Genomic DNA, 22,794 nt, shown 5'->3' with positions numbered 1-22,794 from the left:
CATAGCTGTGTATTTCACTCCCACCACACATTGTGTGGGTGAAGGCAGAGAGTGGATAGGGTTGGGTTTTGATAGAAAAGTATGACGAAGGAAGAGAAGTGGCAAGGAGGGGGGTGTTGAGTGTGTGCAAAGAAAATATAATATCAAATGTAGACATGGAGCTTGGTTCAAGAGAGAAATTAGGCCGTGAGGGAGACAAGATAAAGATGGTAGGCTCAATGTAGTATAGGTTCAGTGGGTTGAAGTATTTTTCTAGGCAGACTACTAGAAGGAATGTGCTAGAAAGACAGAAGTTGGTGAGAGTAGGTGCTTGAAACTGAGATTTCAGGTAATGTACAGTAACTGGCAATAAAATGTTGTAGGTAGGAGGTGACTAGAAATGGCAGCCAACATAGGGTGGGAGAACAGTTGCTGAAGAAGAATTCAGAGAGGACATATGTATTAACAGATATATTAGCTTCCTGTGGAGGCCATAACAAACTACCACCAACCTGGGGTCCTAAACCCTCTCACAGTGCTGGACACAAGTTTGAAATCGAAGTGTCAGCAGAGCCACACTCTCTCTGCAAGCTCTAGGAAAGTATCTCTTTGTATTAGGATTCTCTAGAGAAACAGACTCAATAGGGTGGGCACGCGCATGTCTGTGAGATTTATTGTAAGGAAATGGCTTATGCAGTTATGGAGGATGACAAGTCCCAAGATCTGCGGGGTGAGTTGGCAAGTTGGAGACCCAGGAGAACTGATGATATAGGTCCAATCCTGGTCTGAAGGCCTGAGAACCAGGAGAACCAATGGTGGGTAGTTCCAGCAGGCTCCAGACCTAGAAAGAGTTGATCTTTCAGTTTGGGTCCAAAGGCAGACGTTTGAAGACAAGAGGACTTTTTTCTTATTCAGGGCTGGGTCAGCCTTTTTGTTGTATTCAGGCCTTCAAATGATTGGGTGAGGGTCATCCACACTAGGGAAGGCCATCTCTTTTACACAGTCTACCAATATAAATGTTAATCTCATGCAAAACACCCTAAAAGGAACACCCAGAAGAGCATTTCACCAAATATCTGAGCTTCTCATAGCCCAGTCAAATTGACACATAAAATTTATTTTATTTTATTATTTCTTTGAGACGGAGTCTCACTTTGTCACCCAGGCTGGAGTGCAGAGGCACAATCTCAGCTCACCGCAACCTCCCAGGTTCAAGCTATTCTCTTGCCTCAGCCTCCCGAGTAGCTGGGATTACAGGCATGCGCCAACATGCCTAGCTAATTTTTGTATTTTTAGTAGACATGGGGTTTCGCCGTGTTGGCCAGGCTGGTCTTGAACTCCTGGCCTCAGGTGATCCACCCGCCTTGGCCTCTCAAAGTGTTGGGATTACAGGCGTGAGCCACCCACCACGCCCGGCCCCTTGACACGTACATTGAACATCACACTGTTCTTTCCCTCTTCCAGCTTCTAGCTGCAGTTGGCGTTCTTTGACTTTGTGGCTGTGTCACTTCAGTCTCTGCCTCCTGGGTTACATTGCCTTCTTCTCATCTGTCTCTTCTCCTCTGTGTATCTGTCTTATATGAAAATACATTTGATTGCATTTTGGGCCCAACCAGGTAATCCAGGGTAAATGCTTCCTCTCCCATCTAGATTCTTAAGTTAATTTTGTCATAGAAGGTAATATTCACTCTTCTGCCATATAAGGTAATGCAGGTTCCAGAGATTAGGATGTGGACATATCTTTTGGGGGGCCGTCATTCATCCCACTACGATCAGTGCATTGGAAAGATCAACTGTAAATGTTGAAATCAACAAGAATTATGACAGTAGTAATGTTGGACTCCGCGAAGGAGGGACAACTTGGGTTTTGGTCTGATTATACGACATTCAAAATCGGAGTTTTAAGGAAAAGGGAAAATGATCTGAGAGTGGCAGTGTGGTTCTAGGAGGACTTCTCCTCCACCTGGAGGTCTAGTTGTTTGAGGGGTGTGAGAAAGAAAGCAGCTGCCACTTGAAATGGCTGCAGGGAAGCTGAGCCTTCAGGGAATGCCAGGTTTCCTCCTAGAGCCGTAGGTGAAAGCAACATTCAGAGAAGAGGTTGATGCGTAAGCCTCGGACAGAGGAGGGATTTTGCCGATGCTGGACTATGAAGACAAGGAGAAGGGTTTTGAGAGTTGAGGATTGGGGTCGCGTGAGGGGATGTACTGAGCCTCACAGGAATAAAAACCAGGTGAGAGTCTTGGATTTCTTATTTTTAAAAAGTATAACCTGATATAAAGGTCGTGCTGGAATTAACCCCAGATAGGCAGATCATGGCACTGTGGCAATGTGTTAGTTGAGAGGGTGTTGGTTGCCAGGAACATGCAGGGCTCTGGGTTCATCTTTTTACTCTTGTTGATGGTGTTATGGAGGCCTGGGGAGAAGTGCTCTGAAACTCTCCCATTCGACAGCTGACTTAGAGCTAAAGTGACTGCTTCGTTGACCAGAGGCCTCCCTTTGAAATTCTGGACTTTCTAGAGCCCCCCAAGGGTTAGGGGGAATAGTCTGGGATATCCTGATAACCTTTATCCGCATTTTCAGTAGGTTGCTTGGGATGTTTTAGATATTGCTCCTTTCAATCATCTGAACGTTGCCCAATTCTACTGTGTTGTTTGCATGCACGATTTATTCATAAAACCACTTACAGCTGCAAAAATGCTAAGTTTAAAACGAGAACATTCAAAATGGACCCAGCTGTTTAAAAAGATGGATGCGATCAAATAAAGAATTGGTGTGTAGTTTATGAAACAATAAGGCATTTTTTCAACTGTAGCCTGATTATTCTTAGAGCGATGACAAGGAGGTTTTTCCATTACAAAGAAGTGTATGACTTAGCTTAAACCAAGCAGTTCTTCAAATGAGCAATTTCCTGTGGCAGTCATCACTTAGCCACAGCCCTTTTGTCAACTTTAGATCTTTTTTTTGTTCTTGCAGATGGCCACCAGAGCTGCACTGGAGAGTGCATCTTCTGCTTCCATGTGTGGGAAGATCACTGTGTTCTCTGTGACCCAGTAGTGTGAATTGCTTATCTGTTTCTGCATTAACTCAAATTTATCAGTGATTATTGCCTGAATACCTCATGCTTTCTGAGATCTACAGGTACAGATTTAGGGTTGAACTCTTTCTCTAAATAAATTTAATCCATGTGTGTTATATGTTGTATATCTTCATTTAGTGACTACGAAATGTCTAGCTATGAAATGTGCATGTTAATTACTCATTAAGCCTTTGGATCGCCTTTGATGAGCCAGATCCTGTGCTCCCCGGCATTCTCTTGCACACCTTCTTTCTGAATGTTTTCTCACAGTTCCGGCTTTTACATGCCCCTCACTCCACCCCAGACGCTAATAAATTTCTGCAGTTCTTAGTTCCAGCTCGTTCTTCTTGTTTAGGTTAAGACTCCTACATTCAGAGATCTCATGGACATTTCTGTCTTGAAGTCTCACTGGTTCTTCTGTCAATATGTGGTTCTAATAATTTTTCAGTTCCTTTTCTTGGACTTCCAAGTAGATAATTACATCATCTGTAGGAAGCAGCAACTGAATCACTTTCTGATAGTTTTACCCCTGTCTCAATTTTTTACCTCTTTGTGTTAGTAAGAACTTCTAATTTGTGGGGAAGCAGTGCTTCCCAGAATTCCCTGGAAAGAATCACCTGGGCTGTTTGTTAAATATACAAAGTCCCAGGCCTTCACCCTTGGGAATATTAGTAGGTCTGGGTTGAGGCTGAGGAATCTGCTTTGTTTTATTTTTTAAACAAAGGCCCTGGACATTTTTTATCTTGAGAAAACTTTGGAAAACACTGTTTTAGAGCAGTGCTAAATAATAGTTGTGATAGTCTTTTGTTGCTGCTTTTAGTGTGTCTGTACCATGTGTGATGTCAGTGGACTGCTGGCTCTCCTCCTATTTTGACCTGTGGTAGCACTTGTGACAGCTTTGGAACTGTGATGTGTCCGGTGTAGCGATACAATGGGCTGTCTAAACAGGGCAGCGAGCTTTCTGTCCTGGTATTCATTCAGTGACATCTCAGTTCCAGGCCCTGGAGAGTGCCACCATACACAGAAGCACATGGGAAGACCTCTTAGTCTTCCAACTCTCATACTCCCTCTAACTCCAGTCTGCCTTTCTTGGGATCCTGGCTGCCTGTGGATCTACTTCCATAGTATTTGTGTGCTCTGCTTTTTTTGGTTTTAGCTGACTAGAACTTTTGTTTACCTAAACCTGAAATATTGGTCACACTCCTTCCTACTTCAGTTCTGCCATGGAACCCATTACTGCATTTGAGTGCCAGAGAACTGTCTGCTGTCTGTATTCGAGAAGCAACTTCTAATACAAAGATGACTTATAACACATGAAAGTTTTTTCTTACAGAGTAATGTTTTGAAAGCTTTTACAGTTATGTCTTTGGTCTGAGACTCTTATTTATGTCTTCCACTCACAGGCAGCACTATGACAGTGTTAAACTATTTGCAGTTGCCTAATACACTATATTTTCTTAGTTTTATGTTTTTGAATCTGCGATTCTAGTTTCCTTTATCTCCTCTTCTCCCCATCCTCCCAGCTTTCCCTTACCAACCTCTGTATATCCTTTAATTAGCTCAGGTATCACTACTTTTTCTGATTCTCCGAGTGGTTTGATGTGTCTCTTCATGGCCCGCTATATCACACTGAATACCTCTTTTAAAGCACTTTTCACACTGTTATAATCATCTTCATAGAATCTGCTTATTTGTCTATATATTTCATTAGATTGTAAGTCCTCAGTTTATTTTCAGCCTTTGCATCCCAATTACCTGCTACACATAATCAACGTTTATTGAAGAACTTTATGAAAGTTGGCATTTTCCACTTGTTCCAGTTTTAAATTACTTTCGATTTTGGAAATGTTCATTTTATGCCCAGCCAACTTGCAAAAAATGTAGGAGATTGATAATATTCAGTTTTGGCAAGGGTGTACAGAGGAGAACTCTTGAAGATTCTTGGTAGGAGTATGAATAGATAAATGCAGGTGACAGAATTTAAATGCATGTAACCTTTGACCTAACAGTTCCTCATATAGGAATTCTCCCAGAAAAAACACTTGTACCAAGTATACTAGGATTTTTGTAGGAGAGTATCATAGAGTATCATGGCAGCGTTATTTGTGATGGCAAAAAAAAAAAAAAAAAAAAAGAGAGATGGCCAAAACACCAAAACATCCATTAGTAGTGAAATGATTAAGTTTATTATGGTATGTACTTACTATGGGATTCTGTGTGGTAGTCATAATAAGTGAAATAGATCTGGAAAGATCTATTTTATTTTATTTATTTTTATATTTTTTGAGACTTAATCTCACTCTGTTGCTCAAGCTGGAGCGCAATGGCACAATCTGAGCTCACTGGAACCTCCGCCTCCTGGGTTCAAGTGATTCTCCTGCCTTAGCCTCCCAAGTAGCTGGGATTACAGGCACACGCCACCATGCCCTGCTAATTCTTTTTTGTATTTTTAGTAGAGATGGGGTTTCACCATGTTGGCCAGGCTGGTCTTGAATTCCTGATCTCAGGTGATCCACCTGCCTCAGCCTCCCAAAGGACTGGGATTACAGGAGTGAGCCACTGTACCCAGCCAGGAAAGATCTATTTCATATTAAATAGGTAGTCATAATAAGTGGAATCGATGTGGAAAGAGGTTCATATTGAATGAGAAAAGCAAGTTACATAGCAGTATATATAATGATCTCAGTTTTGTAAGAATAGATTTGATTTTGTGTGTGTTTATTATTTTTCTTATTTATGCATAGGAAATTGTCTAGAATAGTATGCAAAGGAAAAAAGCCCTGTTTATCAAGTTATGCTATTTAAATTACTTGATTTTTTTCAATGATGTGTAATATTCAGTATTCATTTAATTTGTCTTCCTCTGGAATGTCTGAGTTATCCTTTTTTGAACTAGCAAGTAATATATAATTTCTTATTATGAAATATATCAAGCATATAGAAAAGACTTTATTGGCTTTTTAACATTTTGCTGGATTTGCTTCAGACCTTTTTGTTTTTTTTTTTTTTTTTTGGAGACGGAGTCTTGCTCTGTCGCCCAGGCTGGAGTGCAGTGGCCCGATCTTCGTTCACTGCAAGCTCCGCCTCCTGGGTTCATGTCATTCTCCTGCCTCAGCCTCCCAGGTAGCTGGGACTACAGGCACCCGCCACCACACCCAGCTAATTTATTTTTAGTAGAGACAGGGTTTCATCGTGTTAGCCAGGATGGTCTCGATCTCCTGACTTCGTGATCCGCCCACCTCGGCCTCCCAAAGTGCTGGGATTACAGGCATGAGCCACTGTACCTCGCCCAGATCTTTTTTTAAAAAAAAGAAAGAAAACATTACAGAGAAATTTGAAGCTCTCCATATCCTCCAAACCCATTTTCCTCCTTCCTCAGAGATAACCTCTATTTTAAATTTGGTGTTTAGTATTTTCATTTATATTTTTGTTTTTTATTACTCATATGTATGTGACCATTCATAATTTATGGTGTTGTATCTCATGTTTTTAAACTTCATCAAAATAGCATCATGGTGCATGTACCCTACAACAGTTTCCTTTTTTAACCTGCATTCTTTTTCAAATGATCTCCATGTTGATGTGGTTATTTTCAGTGCCATATAGAATCCACACCTGTTATCCTCCTATTGATTGACATTTAGCTTGTTTCTAATTTTCTACTTTTCCAAACACAGCTTCAGTGGATTTTCTGGTACAAGTCTTCTGGTGCAGCGTGGAGAGTTTCTCTTGTTTTTAGGAGTGGAATCCTTGGGACGAGAGGAGTGTGCATTTTCAGTTTTATTCGATATTGCTAAATTACTCTCCAAGCTGGCTTTACTATTTTACACTCCTACCAGCAATATATGAGCTTTACTTATGGGTAATATATTACCTTTAATTCTCTTGTAAAGCAGTAAAATTCTCAATAAATTTTTTGAAAAAAAAAATGAGACTATGAACTGCTGGTTAAAACTATATAGAGAAAATAAATTCTGTCCATGATATTAAACTAATGTTTAATAGAAAAGCCAATACTCAGTGCAACATTTTTCCCTGTTGTGTGTACTCACCTCATCCCCCTGTCTCCATTTGAATGCTTCCCACCCAGGCTAAATTGATGACAGCCCAATTAGGAGCAAAGCTTGGCCTTGAACTTTGGTCAAAAGCTTTGTTTTTCCCTATACACATTCACAGCTTTTTCAGTTTTAAAAGTATTAGCATTTCATGTAGCAGTTATTCGTATTTCAAGGATACCCTTCTTAGCCCCAGGGTTGGTGTGTATGGAACCATAAATTTATATTGGCTATCATGACAGATCTAGTAATGTGTCAGTCTACTGATGTTGAATTCTAGCAAATCTTTGTATTTTTTTTCTCGAAAGGGAAGCCAAAGCTATTTGCCGCTGAGCACAAGATGCAGCTGTCCTTATGTAGCTCCCTCCTTGGCTGTTGTTGAACCAGTTGGAATAACAGTGGCTTCTTTTTCGTGGGTTAAGGGGTTTTTGTAATCTATAAGCATGTTTCAGATATGTGAACAAATTACATTTTATTCTACCTAGCCTTTTTTTTTTTTTTTTTTTTTGAGAAGGAGTTTTCGCTCTTGTTGTCCAGGCTGGAGTGCAGTGGCGCCATCTCAGCTCACTGCAACCTCCGCCTCCCAGGTTCAAGTGATTCTCCTGCCTTAGCCTCCTGAGTAGCTGGGATTACAGGCGCCTGCCACCACACCCGGCTAATTTTTTTGTATTTTTAGTAGAGATGGGGTTTCACCATGTTGGCCAGGCTGGTCTCAAACTCCTGACCTCAGGTGATCTACCTGCCTCAGCCTCCCTAAGTGCTAGGATTACAAGCATGAGCCACCGCACCCAGCCCTACCTAGCCGTATTTTTATTACTGTGAGCTAAAACTCCTAAGTCTTGGAAGATTAACAAAAATTACATGGATTATATTTCTCTCATATGTTAATCAAAATTATAGCTTACCAGTTAAACTGGAGCTTAGCAATTCTAATTTTTCACTTTTTATTGCAGTTATTTTGAAGCCTTTTATAAAATAACATATTGGTTGAGTGATGTGTCACATGCCTATGACTATAGGCATACTCCCAGCTACTCGGGAGGCTAAGGTGGGAGGATTGCTAGAGCCCAGAAGTTTGAGACCAGCCTGGGCAACATAGTGAGATCCCATCTCTTAAAAAAATATCAACTGGGAGGCCGAGGCGGGTGGATCATGAGGTCAGGAGATCGAGACCATCCTGGCTAACAAGGTGAAACCCCGTCTCTACTAAAAATACAAAAAATTAGCCGGGCGTGGTGGCGGGCGCCTGTAGTCCCAGCTACTCGGGAGGCTGAGGCAGGAGAATGGCGTGAACCCGGGAAGCGGAGCTTGCAGTGAGCCGAGATTGCGCCACTGCAGTCCGCAGTCCGACCTGGGCGACAGAGCGAGACTCCGTCTCAAAAAAAAAAAAAAAAAAAAAAAAAAAAAATCAAAAAGAGAAATTATATAATTTTCAAAATAAATTTTTATGAACTTTAATTGTATAAAAAGAAATGGGAATTTCAAAGTGGTAGACGGAGGGCACCTTACTTCTGAGGCTTAGATAGATTAGAATTTTTAAAGTAATCTGTAAGTACAATGGGCAGGGCAGGCGGAAGGAAAGGAAACCCTTAGTAGGCCTCAGGCTCTGAAGAATCTCTGTGAAAAGTAGATGAGATCTGTTTGCAAAAGGAAACCTGAGTCCAGAACCAGGGCAGGCGAGCATTGCTGCTAATGATGGGGATAGTGTCGTCAGTGTTCTTGCTTGGAAGTAGTTGCTGCGGGGAGCTGTGAGGGGCCCAGGGCCAGTGACAGGGCAATGCTGGAAGTGTAGCATGGTGATGGAGGTGTCTCAGGCAGGTGTAGAGTATATAGGAGCTTGGATTGCAGAGACAAGGTAGGGTTCCAGGTGCTGGATGGATTCTAGGAAAACAGGAAGCTACCTTGCTAAGAAGACTAGCTATAAAGCTTTTCAATGAGGTGGCACCTTCCATCCCTCTTTCACTCTCACTGAAAACAACTCCCATTCCTGCCCTCCAGGCAGGCAGCACACAGAGTAGATGTCTGAACAGGAAGTCTTGACTACAAAACTGAGCACTTAGTTAAAAATCACCCCAAATGAGAGGAACACAACTGGAGAAGATAACTGAGGAGGTAACAAAAGAATTTATCTTAGAAATAGAATTAATAGAATAAGCAGAACTAGATTTTGCAGCAACTATAGTTAATTCCTCAGAGAGATATGAGCAGTTATGTTTTCTACCAAAAATAATTAAGTAGTGATCCTGGAAATTAAATGTTTGATTGTTAAAATAAGAAATTAAATAGATGAGCTGATTAACAGGGTTTATAGCTGAAGAACAAATTTGTGAGCTGGAAGCTAGAACAGAGAAGTATTCCTTAGTACATTACTATTATTATAAAGTAAAAGAAAACAAAGTGTAGAGGATGGATTGAGGAGTTCCTTCTAATAAGAGTTCCAGATAGAGGCTAAAGAAAATGCAGAGAGATGATACTTAAGCAATAGATCCAGTTTCAAGATGGTTGACCAAGCACATCCTGACCTTGTCCTGTTTCTACACCAAATCCATAGAAATGGTAAGACATTAAGTTAGATTAATAAATTCCCTTTCCAGATTAAAAATAAGAAATGTTCCATACCCAAAGCTGTAAGATATCTTTAAGTGAAGGTGGTATGTGTTAAAATGAGAAGTTGCAGAAGGGAACCGCTAACACTGCCTGGAGGAAGTTCTCAGTACTGCTGGGACCCTGAAGCTGCTCAGCCAACTCCTTCAGAACAGATTCAGCCAAGGATCCCCAGCCGGGAGGCCACTGTTGACTCACATTGCAAGTGGTCAGTCCTGGAGGATGTTTGCATGGCCAACAACCATGAAAATCCAGGGGAAGCCTAGCACAACAATATAAAATATGAACATATGAAATATCAAAAGCAGATTTATACCCTAGGAAGCAGAGCAATCAGGAAACTTTAAATATAGGTAAATATAATTTCCTTAGAAGACCAAGGATAGACTTTCATGCGCATTAAAACAAGCAGAAATCATAATAAACAGGCAGTCGTGAAAATGAAAAATATAGTTGTTAAAGTAAACTCATTGGATGGGCTACATAGCAAATTGGATGTAGCTAAAGAACAAATGAGTTAACTAAAAGATCAGGGTGAGAAGAAGTTCTTCCAAAACTCAGCATCAAGAGATAAGAAATAGAGTATGAAGGAAAAGTTGAGGCATTTGGGACAGTGTGGAAGTTCCATTATTTATCTAATAGGAGCTGTCAGTGAAGAAAATTGACCAGAGACAATGTTTGAAAAATTGAGGTCTCAGCTGGGTGCTGTGGCTCACGCCTATAATCCCAGCACTTTGGGAGGCCGAGGTGGGCAGATTGCTTGAATTCAGGAGTTTGAGACCAGCGTGGCCAAAATGGTGAAACCCCATCTCTACTAAAAATACAAAGATTAGCCGGGTGTGGTGGCACGTGCCTGTGGTTCCAGCTACTCAGGAGGCTGAGGCAGGGGAATTGCTTGAATACAGGAGGCGGAGGTTGCAGTGAGCCAAGATCACGCCATTGCACTCCAGCCTGAGTAAAAAAGAAAAGAAAAATTGAGGTCTGAAAATATTCTAGAATGTCTGAAAATTATTTCAGAACATCTGAAAATATTCTAGAATTTCCAGTACTGAAAAGGTATAAGCCCTCAAATATTAAATAGAATAGGCATCATTGTGATAATGATGAAGAGAAATTCTTAGGAAACACTGGAGAGAAAAGACTGATGGTCTTCAAAAGAATTGAAATTCAAGTGCTAGATGTCATCACTGGTTTTAAGAAAACAATAGCACCGTGTTTTTTTTTGTTTGTTTGTTTTGTTTTTGTTTTTGTTTTTGAGACAGAGTCTCGCTCTTTCACCCAGGCTGGAGTGCAGTGGCGCGATCTCGGCTCACTGCAAGCTCCGCCTCCCGGGTTCACGCCATTCTCTTGCCTCAGCCTCCCGAGTAGCTGGGACTACAGGCACCTGCCACCACGCCTGGCTTATTTTTTGTATTTTTAGTAGACACGGGGTTTCACCGTGTTAGCCAGGATGGTCTCGATCTCCTGACCTCGTGATCCGCCCACCTTGGCCTCCCAAAGTGCTGGGATTACAGGCGTGAGCCACCGCGCCCGGCCAACAATAGCATAGCGTCTTTAAGCTGCTGAGAGAAGTAACTCTGAACTAAAATTCTATCCCATCCATACTAGCTTTCAGCAGCAAGTGTACCACAGTAGCATTCTCAGACTTTAAGGACTTTGCTGGAAAAACTGTTTAAAGATATACTGGCTGGGCACAGTGGCTCACACCTGTAATCCCAGCACTTTGGGAGGGTGAGGCAGGAGGATCACTTGAGCTCAGGAGTTCGCAACCAGCCTGGGCAATGTGGTGAAACCCCATCTCTACAAAAAATACAAAAATTAGCCGGGTGTGGTTGTGCATGCCTGTAGTCCCAGCTACTTGGCAGGCTGAGGTGGGAGGATTGCTTGAGCTCAGGAGGTCAAGGCTGCAGTGAGCCATGATTACTCCACTGCAGTAAGAAAGAAAATGAACCCAGAAGGTAATAATGGGATCCAAGAAAAAAGAAGGAAGCAAATAAATCAGGAAAACAACAATGGTCCATCTAAGCAAATGTTGGTTGTAAAATATAAGATGATTTTTAATAAGTTGCAATTTAGGTCAACAAAGTTAGCAACAAGGAATTTTATGGGTAGGTGGAGCAAAAAGGGAAATAAAAACATGCCAAAGAATTCAAGAGGACTATATAAAATGTAACTCCAACTTGTAAGAAAATATTATTTTAAGTATGCATTAAAAATTTAAGGGTGACTACTAGACAAGTTAGATATAAAATATAAACTTTAAACCTATTATAAGATAACAGTAGCAAAAACAACCTTGACCAATCCAAGAGAAGACAGGAAAGTAGGAGAAAAGAAAGTCATGAAAAATAGAAGATACAAAATAAGTCCTATGATTAAATTTAAATGTATATATTGATATATGTATATTCATAATCAAATATATATTACTGATATATATATCAGTAATCAAAATAAATGGAAAAACTAAACTCATCTACTTACAAGATAAAAACTCAGATTTAAGAAAACAACAAAAACCACTTAGGTGCTATGTTAGAGGATACAGTTAACAATAAATATTATTACATATATTATAATTTTACAAAATATTAACATGAGACAAAACAACTCAAAGCAGGCAACATTGGGATGGACCGAGGGAGACTTCAAATGCTAGAAAGTGAAATTTGTCAAGAATTGGTGTCAGCACAAGCCTGTTTATCCTGCTCTTAGTAACATTGCATGTTTGTGGGTGTATGTATTTATGTGTATGTAAACATATACATAAGTAATTATTACAGAGGCTTTCTGAGTGATGTCCCCGGTTCTGCCCTTTTCCCTTCAGTCTGTTCTAAATATAGCAGCCAGAATGGTTCTGCTAAAAGCATCAGATCCTTATCTGCTGGATGCACTCCAAGAGCTTGTCACCTCATTCAGGGTAAAAGCCACAGTCCTTACAGTGGCATAGAAGGCACTAGCCCACCTGACCCCCTTACCTCTCAGCTCATCTTCTGCCCTACTCCCCCTTACTCCACTCCAGGCTGACTGCGCTCACATCTTGCCATTCTTTCAACACACCAGGCAAACTTGCATTTTAGGGCCTCGCACTTGCTCTTCCTTTTGCTTGGAGAGCCCATTCCCCAGATGTCCATGTGCTTCCCTCCCTCACCTCCTTCTGTTCTTAGGAAGAAGCCTCCCTGACCACAATGCAGTAAAATTGGAAATTAACAACAGAAAGGAAAAAAAAAAAACCTTAACACACATCTTGAATTTTAAAAGAATATAAACTTCTAACTTTATGGAATGACAAGAATTCATAATCAAAATTAACAAAATTAAATGACTGGAAAAGCACAATGTACCTAAACCTATGCTTTACATCTCAAATGATACTTGATGAAAAATCATAACCTTACATGTACTTTCTAGGAAAGAAAAGATTGAAAATAGAGGAACCTAGATTTCAGTACTCTGAAACTGAAAGAAGTACTGATAAATCTGAAGTAGAAGAGTAATAAAAATGAACCTAAAAATTATTGAAATAAGAAACTTGATCACGATAACAAAAAGATGGCTATTTGAAAAAATTAGTAAAATAGGTCTAATTTATTGACTAATTTCTTTAAAGTACAAACATAATTTCAGAAATGAAAACTGATATGGGGTACAGACAGTTTTGCTTTCTGTAATTATAAGAAAATACTATGAACAACTTTATGCTGATAAATCGGAAGACCTAAATGCAATATACAATTTTCTAAGAAAATAGGTATTACCAAATTTGGTAAAAGAAGTAGAAAATCTTTAATAGTCAATAAGCAAGTTAAAAATATTAGAATGAGAATCAAAGATCTACATTCCAAAGAAAGCATCAAGCCTCGACTATTTCACAGGTGAGTTCTTTCAAAACTTCAAGAAACAGATAATTTTCATTTGATATATACCATTCCAGAGTACAAAATTGGAATGTATCCAACCAATTTTACTAGGCCAGCATAACCTTCATCCCCAAACAGGCAAGGACAACACCAAAAGAGAAAATTATAAGCTGTCTTCCCATAAGGATACAGGTGCATATTTGGGAGGCCAAGGCGGGTGGATCAGCTGACGTCAGGAGTTCAAGACCAGCTTGACCCAACGTGGTGAAACCTCGTCTCCACTAAAACACAAAAATGGGCTGGACATGGTGGTGGGTGCCTGTAATCCCAGCTACTCCGGAGGCTGAGGCAGGAGAATTCCTTGAATCGGGAGGCGGAGGTTGCAGTGAGCCGAGATTGTGCCATTGCACTCCAGCCTGGGCAACAAGAGTGAAACTCCATCTTAAAAAAAAAAAAAAAAAAGGAAAGAAAGAATACAGGTGCATGACTCTTAGTGGTAGATTAAAAAAAAAAAGAAGTATACAGGTATAAAATTTCTACATTAAAAAATTAGTAAATTTATTTGAGCATTATCAAGTAGCACTTATCCTGGAAATGCAAGAATAATTCAACTTGCATTTAAAATAATTGAAAGTCTGGCCAGGTGTGGTGGCTCATTGCTATAATCCCAGCACTCTGGCAGGTCAAGGCGGGAGGATCACTTGAGGCCAGAAGTTTAAGACCAGCCTGGGCAATGTAGCAAGACCCTGTCTCTACAACAACAACAAAAGAATTAACTTAGCACAGTGGTGTATGCCTTTCGTCCTAGCTACTCAGAAGGCTGAGGTGGGAGGATTACTTGAGGCCAAGAGATCAAGGCTATGGTGAGCGCTGATTGCACCACCTGCACTCCAGCATGGGCAACAGAGCAGGATTCTGTCTCCAAAAAGAAAAAAAAAAAAAGAATAGAAGATCTATCCTATCTTGTTGCACCAACCTAATTGCTGACTCCAGCAACATGGCAAACTAAGCTAATTGTAATCTCCTTTCTCCAATGACAGAGACATGCACGCTGGATTAAACATAACAACAACAATTGAAATGTAGAATTTAGCTTGATTAAAAGTCAGAGAAAGCCCTGGCTATCAGAATTAAACCTAACACTGTGGTGTTCCAGGGGTCTATCAGATTGGATACTGGATTTAGCCCCAGAGGTTAGGGTTTAGTGCCCCCATGAAGTAGGAAATCTGTCTTGGGTTCACGAAACAAGGTAAGTGGAACTAATATTTCTGTAAAGGCCAGGACTTTAGAAGAGCTGCCTCCTTAAAACAAAGAGGGGCTAGAAAAACTCCAGTGGCCCAGAGAAGGTACAAAAAATATCCAGCAGCCAGGCTCTGGGAAAAAAGAAAACTTACAAAATCTACCAGTTTTCTGAAAAGTTTAGAGGAAAAAGATTTTATTCTAGTGAACAGTTTGCACACTGGGGAGATGCAGCCTTTGGCACAAAATGAAGCCTTTGGCACAAAACCTTGTGAGAGAACCAAGAGAGGGTTGTCTATTATAGGGAAAGGTCCTGTCCAGGTTCCCACCCTGGTCCACTTATGCAAAGGACGGTTGCAGACTTGCCTAGTTCTGATTGGTTGATGTTTGCTGAGTTCTGATTGGTTGATGCAAGTCACAGTCTATTGCCTGAGGTAGGAACAGACAGTTATGAAAGTCCCAATGTTAAATAAACATAGGGTTTGCTGGGAAGGCAGAGTATGTGTGTGACCTCTAGCCAGCAAATGGCTGCTTGGCTGTATTTGAATTTAGGCCATTTGCCACTCAGGATTCATCTGGAAGGATTGACTCTTTCAGGGTTCGCAAGTTAAAAATTAAGTTTCTAAGCCGGGCACGGTGGCTCATGCCTGTAATCCCAGCACTTTGGGGGGCCAAGGCAGGCCCATCACTTGGGGTCAGTAGTTTGAGACCAGCCTGGCCAGCATGGTGAAACCCCATCTCTACTAAAAATACAGAAATTAGCCAGGCATGGTGGCACACACCTGTAGTCCCAGCTACTCAGGAGGCTGAGGCAGGAGAATTGCTTGAACCCGGGAGGCGGAGGCTGCAGTGAGCCAAGATCGTACCACTGCACTCCAGCCTGGGTGACTCTGTCTCAAAAATAAACAATAAAGTTCCTCAGGCCCAGTAGCAGCATTTCTAGTGTTCAGTAACCACACGGGGCTAGTGGCTTCCATATTGGATAATGCAGGTATAGCAAGTCTTCATCATCCCTTAAAGTTCTGTTGGATAATAGCACTGCTCTGAAGTACCTGCCAGAAGAAGACAAAAAAAATCCCTCTGTAGCCATACACTTCCACAGCTCAGTTCAAATGGGACTCCTATGCAGAAAACAACCCCTGCTAAGGGTGAGCTTATTACCAAAAATTGCAAACCCAATCACAAAACAATCTACTGTGAGGGAAAATCAGCAAACAAACACAACAGATAGGTTTAGCATGCCAAGAACTTTAGAAATGGCACATTCAAAAAGTTAAAGAAATGAAATTGGGAATAGTGGCATTGTTAAAAGGGACAAGTTGAATGAAAAAAGGCCAAATTTAACTTTCAGAAATCAAAAATATTAAAGTTAAGCTCAATGGAGGGGTTAAATAGAAAGTTAGAGACTGTTCAAGTGAAAATTAGGGTATGGGAATTAGATGTGATGAGATTAATCAGAATACAGAGTGCTGAACACAGATAAAAGGAGATGGAAAGTGTGAAAGGTGAGTAAAGGATATAAAGGGTGGAACAAAAAGATCAATCCAGATTTCTCTACCCAGCTAATCTATTCAAGAGCAAAGAAGAAATAAAGGTATTTTTCAAAAAAGTCTCAAGGAGTTTGTCACCAACAAAACATTGCTGAAAGAATTAATAAAGGATATACTTTGAGCAAAAAATAATTTGAGGCAAGAAGGAAGAAATAGTGCAAAGTGGAATTGATAAATGTGGATGACTTTAAGCACCAGGTATAAATAATAATTACTAATTTTGGTGAGCTTATAATAAGGTGCAGCTGAAGTACTAAACTATGGCATGAAATTGGTTGAGGCATGATTAAAGGACTGAAGTTACTAGGTGAGGTTACAGATGTTGATTAAGATTGTGGTAAGTGTTCATGTTAAAATAGAGAAAGTTGTTGACTTGTCTGAGGCTTTAGCAGGCTTTGTACCAAGAGTCTGCCACTGGGGGATATTTTTCTGCTTAGATCCCCTCAGATGGTGTGGCTTGGAGTTCAGGATGATGTGCTCAGAAAGAGAGAGTAATTGGAAGTGAAAATGACAGGAATGGCCTCAAAGTCACCAATCCTGAGCTTTTTCCATTAGGCTGTTATGTTCCCAATGTCAGGGCCTGTCAGCGTATACCCTGAGCTGAAGATTGTGCTGTGCAAGGAATTAGCTTGAGGCTGATTGAAAACACAGTAATCTGAGCTCAAGAAAAAGTTTTGCAGAGTATCGCAGTGCCTGGTTCATGGTTATCCGAGGAAAACAAGTCTCAGCCCTGGCACAGGAGCACACATGAAACCATTGCAGTGAGTCGCCTGCTGCCCACTTTGGAATCTGTCCCTCAGTTGGACACCGTGTCCCCACCCCTGACTCACCTTCATGACCCAACCCGCGAGCCCTGAGGGTGGTACTCCACATCCCCCACGCTGGGCTGCGGGTGCCTGTTTCTTTCTAAGAAATAGAATGCCTCACTGCCGTGGCTGTCCCTCCTAGTTGCCAGCGGTTCTTTCTCTTGAGTAATTTTACCTGTTGAGGGGCTGTTTGTACCACAAAAAGAGTGACAGACCTGGTTATATGAGCCTTAATTTTTACACTGAGTGTTAATTTCTGTGCCTATATGTTAACATCTAATTCATAAAACTATTTTGAGAGTTAAAAGCACCCATTAAGTCCCTGACAGTAAGTTCTCAATAAATGTTACTTTAACAACAGCAACAACAAAAGTAGCTGCTAGAAGAGTAAACTCAAAGAGCAAATTTCCAAAAGAGGAAAATAAAATAAGAAAATAAAACCTGAAAAGGACAAATAGGAAAAAGACGAAACAAGTAATGACATAATAAGCCATAAAAATGAATAAAAATATATTACTAATCAGTAAATTCATTAAATTTTCTAGATAAAAAGCAACAGTTGTCAAATATTTTTAAGAATCTGTCTCAGCCAGGCGCAGTGGCTCATGCCTATAATCCCAGCACTTTAGGTGGCCGAAGTGGGCAGATCACTTGAGGTCAGGAGTTCCTGACCAGCCTGGCCAACATGGTGAAACCTGTCTCTATTAAAAATACAAAAATTAGCTGGGCGTGGTGGCGCGCACCTCTAATCCCAGTTACTCGGGAAGCTAAGGCAGAGAATCACTTGAACCCGGGAGGCAGAGGTTGCAGTGAGTCGAGATCGTGCCACTGCACTCCAGCCTGGGCGACAGAGCAAGACTGTGTCTCAAAAAAAAAACAAAAAACAAAACAAAAAAAACCTGTCTCTATGCTGTTTACAAGAGACAGCCAAAAAATAAGGACACAGAGAACTTGTAAGTTAAGAATAAAAAAGACATACCAGGCCAAGTACTAATCAAAACAAATTTGTTGAAAGTATATTAGTCTTAGAAAAAGGATTTTAAGGCAAAAATCTTTACCAGAGAGGTTAGAATGGTAAACTTTAGACTTTGTATATTTTTATCATATTTAAAAAGTCTTTACCAGAGATGGTTTATCAAAGATAAAAAGACAAAATTAACAATTCTACAGATATATAAATTAAAAGTTAACAGGAACACAGTGAGATTGAGAAATACATTTTCAAACTGGATAATTTTAACATATCCAGCAATGAATGATTGCACATTTTTTTTTCAAATACACAAAAATTGACCACATAAAGGAAGCCTCAAAAAAGAATTAGTATAATATCATATAGACTGTATTCTCTGGGAAATCAAGGATAAAAAGATAAGAAAAGAACTGTACATTTGGTTATTAAAAGCTAAGTTGAAATTAACAAATTTCTAAAACAGCGTTGCTTACCAAAACCGATTCAAGATGGAATAGAACACCCAAATAATAACATAATTATTAAAGAAATTGAATTTGCTCAATATATTTACACAAAGGAAACAACCAGGCCTGAGTGACTTTTTGTGAATTTCAGCAAACATTCAAATAAAAGAATAATTGCAGTATTATACAAAATTTCCCAGATTCTGTAGGAAGTAATGAGCATGCCCAGTTTCATTTTTGAGGCTAGAGGGAATAACATTGGTACCAAAGTCTTAAAAATCAGCAAGAAAAGGAAAATTACAAGCCATTCTCTTCTTACAAATATAAATGAAAACATGAAGAAGATAGTAGAAAACTCAATTCAGCAGTGGTTAGGAAAAATAATATATCATGACCACACTGGTTTTATTCAGCAATTAAGGGTGTATTCTTATAATTTACCACATTCATAGATTGATGGATTAAATCCTTATAATTATCTCAAAAGACTCATATAAAATATTTACTAAACCCAACATCTAAGCTGGGCACGGTGAGGCTGAGGCAGAAGAACTGGTTGAACCCAGGAGGTGGAGGTTGCAGCGAGCCAAGATCGCGCCACTGCACTCCAGCCTGGGTGACAGAGTGAGACTCAGTCTCAAAACAAAAACCAAAAAACCCAACATCTATTGACTAAACACACACAGAACAACAACAAAAACCTTAGTAATCCATGGGTAGGAGAAACTCCCTTAACCTAATGTAAAGTATTTGTAAAATCTGATAGCATCTCTTACATTTACTGGCAAAATGTTGAAAAGGTTTAAGATTGAAAACAAAACGAGAAGGCTTGTTATCTCCACTTTTATTCAACATTTTATTGGCGACCCTAAGAAATCGTAACCATTGTGAACTATTGGTGGAATTCAAAATGGTGCAACTTTTGTGGAAAGTAGTATGGTGGTTCCTCAAAAAGTTAAAAGCAAAACTACCATATAATCCAGCAATTCCACTTATGGGTATATAACCAAAAGAATTGAAAGCAGGGTCTCAAAGAGATGTTTGTACACTCATGTTCATAGCAACGCTATTCATGATAACCAAGGGACAGAAGCATCCTACATGTCCATTGGCAGTTTTCAGGGGCTGGAGGGAGGGGGCAAAGGGCATTTTTCAAATACTTCCGGCTCTATGAGATGAAGCGTTCCTGAGATTGGTTGCGCAACAACATGAATATACGTGAATATACTTCACCCTACTGAACTGTACTTGTTTATTTATTTATTTTTATTTATGTATTTATTTATTTTTTTGAGACGGAGTCTTGCCGTCACCCAGGCTGGAGTGCGGTGGTGTGATCTCAGCTCACTGCAACTTCCGTCTCCCGGGTTCAAGTGATTCTCCTGCCTCAGCCTCCCAAGTAGCTGGGATTACAGGTGCGCCCACCACCACGCCCAGCTAATTTTTTGTATTTTTAGTAGAGACAGCGTTTCACCATGTTGACCAGGCTGGTCTTGGACTCCTGACCTCAGGTGATCCACCCACCTCTGCCTCCCAAAGTGCTGGGGTTACAGGCGTGAGCCACTGTGCCTGGCCTGAACTGTATATATATATATTTTTATGACAATAAAAGCAGTGAACTTTATTCTTGCTGTAGAACTTGCCTCAACCTTGTTAGTACCTACATTATTTTCTATACCATGAATATTCTATATCATCTAGCTTTTCTTTTTTTTTTTTGTTTTCTTTTTTTTTTTAATTGATCATTCTTGGGTGTTTCTCGCAGAGGGAGATTTGGCAGGGTCATAGGACAATAGTGGAGGGAAGGTCAGCAGACAAGTGAACAAAGGTCTCTGGTTTTCCTAGGCAGAGGACCCTGAGGCCTTCCGCAGTGTTTGTGTCCCTGGGTACTTGAGATTAGGGAGTGGTGATGACTCTTAACGAGCATGCTGCCTTCAAGCATCTGTTTAACAAAGCACATCTTGCACCGCCCTTAATCCATTTAACCCTGAGTGGACACAGCATATGTTTCAGAGAGCACAGGGTTGGGGGTAAGGTCATAGATCAACAGGATCCCAAGGCAGAAGAATTTTTCTTAGTACAGAACAAAATGAAAAGTCTCCCATGTCTACTTCTTTCTACACAGACACAGCAACCATCCGATTTCTCAGTCTTTTCCCCACCTTTCCCCCTTTTCTATTCTACAAAACCGCCATTGTCATCATGGCCCTGAACTGTACATTTTTAAATGATTGAGCGTTGCACTCCAGCCTGGGCAACAGCGAGACCCTGTCTCTAAAATAATAATAATAATAATAAAATGATTGCGATGGTGAATTTTATGCTATGTATGTTTTATCACAACTTATAAAAAAAGAGCAGGGCTGCTGTATACAAAATATGTTTATAAAATAACTAGGAATAAGAACAGACATATAAATCCTTTATGGAGAAGAATATGAAACTTTATTGAAAGACATTAAAGAAGATTTAAATACATGGGGAAATGAACGCAGTTATGGAAAGGAATGGTCAGTATGCAAAGATGTCACTTCTCTCCAGAATTATCTATAGATTTGATCAGTTCCCATGAAAATCCCAACAGGATTTTTTGGGTGGTAAATGACAAACTGATTCTAAAACTTAAGTGGAAAGTGCAAAGGGCCGAAGATAGTGAACACAACCCTAAAGAAGAATGTAGGTCTGGGGCACTTGCACTTCCTGAAAAGACAGGAGGAAGCTGTAGTCATAAAATCACTGGTGTTGTTATAGGAGCAAAAATAGAATATATATCCAGCAGGAATATATGTAATAATAGTCCATTTATTAAATAATGGACTATTAAATGATAAATGTAAGTAGTAAATGTAGGACAAAATTGGATTATTTCCTGATGCCTATCAAGACATTATTTCTAAGTAGATTCAGATTTAAATATGAAAAGTGAAGAGTATAAAACGTTTTAGACGGTAATTTGGAAGTATACCTTATGGCCTCAGGAAGGGAAATATTTCTTAAGGTACAAAAAGAACAGAATATAAAGGAAAAAATTACTACATTGGGACCACTGATATTTAAAGATGTTCATCAAAAACATAGCAGAGTGAGAAACAAGCCTCATAATAGGAGTTGTTTGTAAGATACAACTTTCCTAGGGTTAAAATACAAAAAGTATAAAGAACTCTTACAAATGAGTTAAAAAAAAAAAAAAAAAAGGCAATCCAGTGCAACCCTATGACAAAGACAGGAACAGGCATTTCACAGAAGAAGAAACACAAATGGCCCATAAACATAGGAAAAGAGGCTCAATCTTTTTAATAACCAGGGAATTGCAAATTAAAACCACAGTACCATTCATCACCCACCAGCTTGGCAAATGTTAACATGTCTGGCAATAACAGTTGGCCAGAATGTGAAGTTTAAGGAACTCTCACACAGCTGATGAGAGTGGAAATTAATGTTACCACTTTGTAAAAACAAATTGGCAGTGCTTAGTAAAATTGAATGCGCGTAACACTATGAGCCAGTAATTCCACTCTTACAAAATTCTTATACATGGCCACTAAGAGACACGGACAGGAAAGTTACAACAGCATTGTGAATGAATGGAAAACATGGAAACACCCCAAATGTTTGTCAGCAGTGGAATGGATATATAAATTACAGTGTAATTAACCAATGAAATACCATCAAGCAGTGAAAAAAATGAATGAATTGCAATTACATCCATCAGAATGGATAAATTGTAACATAACTGAGTGAAAGAAGCAAGTCGCAGAAGACTATATAGAGAACTATACAGGTTTTATACATATCTAAACAATGTATTATGCATAATTGCTAAAATAATAAAGTCAAAGAAATGATTAATACAAAATCCAGGATAGTGATTATCAGGAGAGGAGGAGGCAGAGTGGGAGTGGGGTATAGTGTTAGGATGAGGGTCTGTAAGGAGTCTTCAGAGTGACTAATGTTCTATTTCACAGGCAGAATAGTGGGTAGGTAGGTATTTGTTTTATAACTTTTAAAACTGTACTGTACAGTTGGGTGTGGTGGCTCATGCCTGTAATCCCAGCACTTTGGGAGGCTGAGGTGGGTGGTTCAACTGAGGTCAGGAGTTTGAGACCAGCCTGACCAACATGGTGAAACCCCGTCTCTACTAAAAATACAAAAATTAGCCAGGTGTGGTGGCATATGCCTGTAGTCCCAGCTGCTAGGGAGGCTGAG

General features: G+C 40.0%; 1 protein-coding gene across 31 annotated transcripts in view, besides 1 other annotated feature; it reads left to right on the top strand.

The window, feature by feature from the left end:
* DTNB (dystrobrevin beta) overlaps positions 1 to 22,794 on the top strand; it is a 296,335-nt gene that overhangs the window by 112,218 nt on the left and 161,323 nt on the right. Inside the window, exon 9 of one of the 31 annotated variants that reach the window (NM_001320937.2) lies at positions 2,953 to 3,171. The exons of the other annotated variants lie outside the window; for them this stretch is intronic. Coding sequence (NP_001307866.1) covers positions 2,953 to 3,033 — 81 coding nt within the window. The 3' untranslated portion in view covers positions 3,034 to 3,171. Of the gene's footprint in view, positions 1 to 2,952; positions 3,172 to 22,794 lie in introns of those variants that run through there. 31 annotated transcript variants of the gene reach the window in all.
* Positions 2,493 to 3,188: an enhancer, noted in NCBI's record as "OCT4-NANOG-H3K27ac hESC enhancer chr2:25781041-25781736 (GRCh37/hg19 assembly coordinates)". NCBI's record gives its function as "activates a minimal SCP1, AML or CMV promoter by ChIP-STARR-seq in primed H9 embryonic stem cells {active_cell/tissue: H9 hESC(primed)}" and the evidence as "EXISTENCE:reporter gene assay evidence [ECO:0000049][PMID:30033119]".

Source organism: Homo sapiens, chromosome 2 (genome assembly GCF_000001405.40).
Source record: "Homo sapiens chromosome 2, GRCh38.p14 Primary Assembly".
Lineage (NCBI taxonomy): Eukaryota > Metazoa > Chordata > Mammalia > Primates > Hominidae > Homo > Homo sapiens.
This window is presented reverse-complemented; position numbering and strand designations above follow the sequence as displayed.